Genomic DNA, 3501 nt, shown 5'->3' on the forward strand with positions numbered 1-3501 from the left:
AAATTTACAAGAAAAAATCAAACAACCCCATCAAAAAGTGGGCAAAAGATATGAACAGACACTTCTCAAAAGAAGACATTTATGCAGCCAACAGACACATGAAAAAATGCTCATCACTGGCCATCAGAGAAATGTAAATCAAACCACAAGGAGATACCATCTCACACCAGTTAGAATGGCAATCATTAAGGCCAGGCACGGTGGCTCAAGCCTGTAATCCCAGCCCTTTGGGAGGCCAAGGCAGGTGGATCACGAGGTCAGGAGATTGAGACCATCCTGGCTAACACGGTGAAACCCCATCTCTACTAAAAACACAAAAAATTAGCCGGGCACAGTGGCGGGCCCCTGTAGTCCCAGCTACTCAAGAGGCTGAGGCAGGAGAATGGCGTGAACCCGGGAGGCGGAGCTTGCAGTGAGCTGAGATCGTGCCACTGCACTCCAACCTGGGTGACAGAGCGAGACTCCATCTCAAAAAAAAAAAAAAAAGAAAAGAATGGCAATCATTAAAAAGTCAGGAAACAACAGGTGCTGAAGAGGATGTGGAGAAATAGGAACACTTTTACACTGTTGGTGGGACTGTAAACTAGTTCAACCATTATGGAAGACAGTGTGGCAATTCCTCAAGGATCTAGAACTAGAAATACTATTTGACCCAGCCATCCCATTACTGGGTATATACCCAATGGATTACAAATCATGCTGCTATAAAGATACATGCACACGTATGTTTATTGTGGCACTATTCACAATAGCAAAGACTTGGAACCAACCCAAATGTCCACCAATGATAGACTGGATTAAGAAAATGTGGCACATATACACCATGGAACACTATGCGGCCATAAAAAAGGATGAGTTCATGTCCTGTATAGGGACATGGATGAAGATGGAAACCATCATTCTGAGCAAACTATTGCAAGGACAGAAAACCAACCACTGCATGTTCTCACTCATAGGTGGTAATTGAACAATGAGAACACTTGGACACAGGATGGGGAACATCACACACCAGGGCCTGTCGTGGGGTTGGGGGAGGGGGGAGGGATAGCGTTAGGAGATATACCTAATGTAAATGACGAGTTAATGGGTGCAGCATACCAACATGGCTCATGTATACATATGTAACAAGCCTGCATGTTGTGCACATGTACCCTAGTACTTCAAGTATAATAAAAAAAAAAAATTCAATTTTCTTCTTAATTTCTTCATTGACCCACTGATCATTCAGAAGCATATTTAAAAATTTTTATGTATTTGTTTAGTTTCCCAAATTCTTGTCATTTCTAGTTTTATTCTATTGTGGTCAGAGAAGATGCTTGATAGTATTTCAATTTTTTGAATATTTTAAGATTTGTATTATGATCTAACATGTGATCTAACACTGAGAATGATCCATGTGCTGAGGAAAAGAATGTGTATTCTGCAGCCATTGGATGAAATGTTCTGTAAATATCTACTAGATTCACTTGGTCTACTGTGAAGATTAAGTCTGATGTTTCTTTGTTGATTTTTTTGTCTGAAAGATCTGTCCAATGCTGAAAGTGGAGTGCAGAAGTCTCCAACTATTATTGCATTGAGGCCTATCTCTCTCTTTAGCTCTAATAATATTCTCTTTATATATATATGGGTGCTCCTGTGTTGGGAGCATACATTACATATTTAAAGTGGTTACTATATCCTCTTGCTGAATTGACCCCATTTACCATTATATAGTGACCTTCTTGGAAAGAAAACCTTTTCTTCTTATCGTTTTTGTTTTGAAATCTATTTTATCTGTGATAGAACTTTTGCTCCTTTTTGGTTTCCATTGGCATGAAGTATCTTTTTCCATCCCTTATTTTCAGTCCGTGTATGTCTTTATAGGTGAAGTGTGTCTTTTGTAGGCAACGGATCAATGGCTCTTGTTTTTTCATCCATTCAGTCAGTCTATGTCTTTTGATTGGAGAGTTTAGTTTACATTCAATATCATTATTGATAAGTAAGGACTTACTCCTGCCATCTTGCTATTTATCTTCTGGGTGTTTTATGATCTTCTTTACCTTCTTTCTTTCCTTCTAGTCTTCCTCTAGTGAAGGTGATTTTCTCTAGAGATGTGATTTAGTTTCTTGCTTTTTACTTTTTGTGTATCCATTGTATGTTTTTTGGTTTGAGGTAACCATGAGGCTTGCAAATACTATCTTATAACTTATTATTTTAACCTGATAACAATTTAACACTATTTGAATAAACAAACAAGCACAAAGAAAATAAAAACTCTGCACCTTAACTTCATTCTCTGACTTTTAAACTTTTTATTGTTTCTATTTATATCATATTGTACTATGTCTTAAAAAGTTGTAGTTTTTTTTTTGATCATTTCATCATTTAGTTTTTCTAATTAGGATAAGAGTAGTTTACACAGAACAGTTACAATGTTACAATATTCTGTGTTTTTCTATGTACTTACAATTACTGGTGAGGTCTGTACCTTCAGGTATTATGTATTGCTAATTAATGTCCTTTTCTTTCTGACTGAAGTACTCCCTTTAGCATTTCTGGTACAGCAGTTCTGGTCTTGATGAAATCCCGCAGCTTCTGTTTGTCTGGGAAAGTCTTTTTCCTTTATGCTTGAAGGATATTTTCACCAGATATACTATTATCGGGTAAAAGTTTTTTCCTTTAGCACTTTAAATATATCAGGCCACTCTCCCCTGGCCTGTAAGGTTTTCACTGGAAAGTCTGCTGCCAGACATATTGGAGCTCCATTGTACATCATTTATTTCTTTCCTCTTGCTGCTTTTAGGGTCCTTTCTTTATGCTTGACCTTTAGGAGTTTGATTATTAAATGCCTTCAGGTGGTCTTCTTTGGGTTAAATCTGCTTGGTGTTCCATTACCTTCTTGTACTTGGATATTAATATCTTTCTCTAGGTTTGGGAAGTCCTCTGCTATTATCCCTTTGAATAAACCTTCTACCCCTATCCCTTTCTCTACCTTCTCATTAAGGCCAATAACTCTTAGATTTGCCCTTCTAAGTTTATTTTCTAGATCCTGAGGGCATGCTTCATTGTTTTGTGTGTGTGTTTTTTTTTATTTCCTCTATATGTTTTCAACTGGCCTGTCTTCAAGCTCACTAATTCTTCTGACTGATCAATTCTGCTGTTAAGGAACTCTGATGTGAACAGACACTTCTCAAAAGAAGACATTTATGCAGCCAATAAACATATGAAAAAAAGCTCATCATCACTGGTCATTAGAGAAATGCAAATCTAAACCACAATAAGATACCATCTCAGGCCAGTTAGAAAGGCGATCATTAAAAAGTAAGGAAACAACAGATGCTGGAGAGGATGTGGAGAAATAGGAATGCTTTTACACTGTTTGTGGGAATGTAAATTAGTTCAACCATTGTAAAAGACAGTGTGGCAATTCCTCAAGGGTCTGGAATGAAAAATAACATTTGAACCTGCAATCCCATTACTGGGTATATACCCAAAGGATTATAAATCAGTCTACTATAAAGA

The sequence above is a fragment of the Homo sapiens genome, chromosome 12 (genome assembly GCF_000001405.40).
Source record: "Homo sapiens chromosome 12, GRCh38.p14 Primary Assembly".
Classification (NCBI taxonomy): domain Eukaryota; kingdom Metazoa; phylum Chordata; class Mammalia; order Primates; family Hominidae; genus Homo; species Homo sapiens.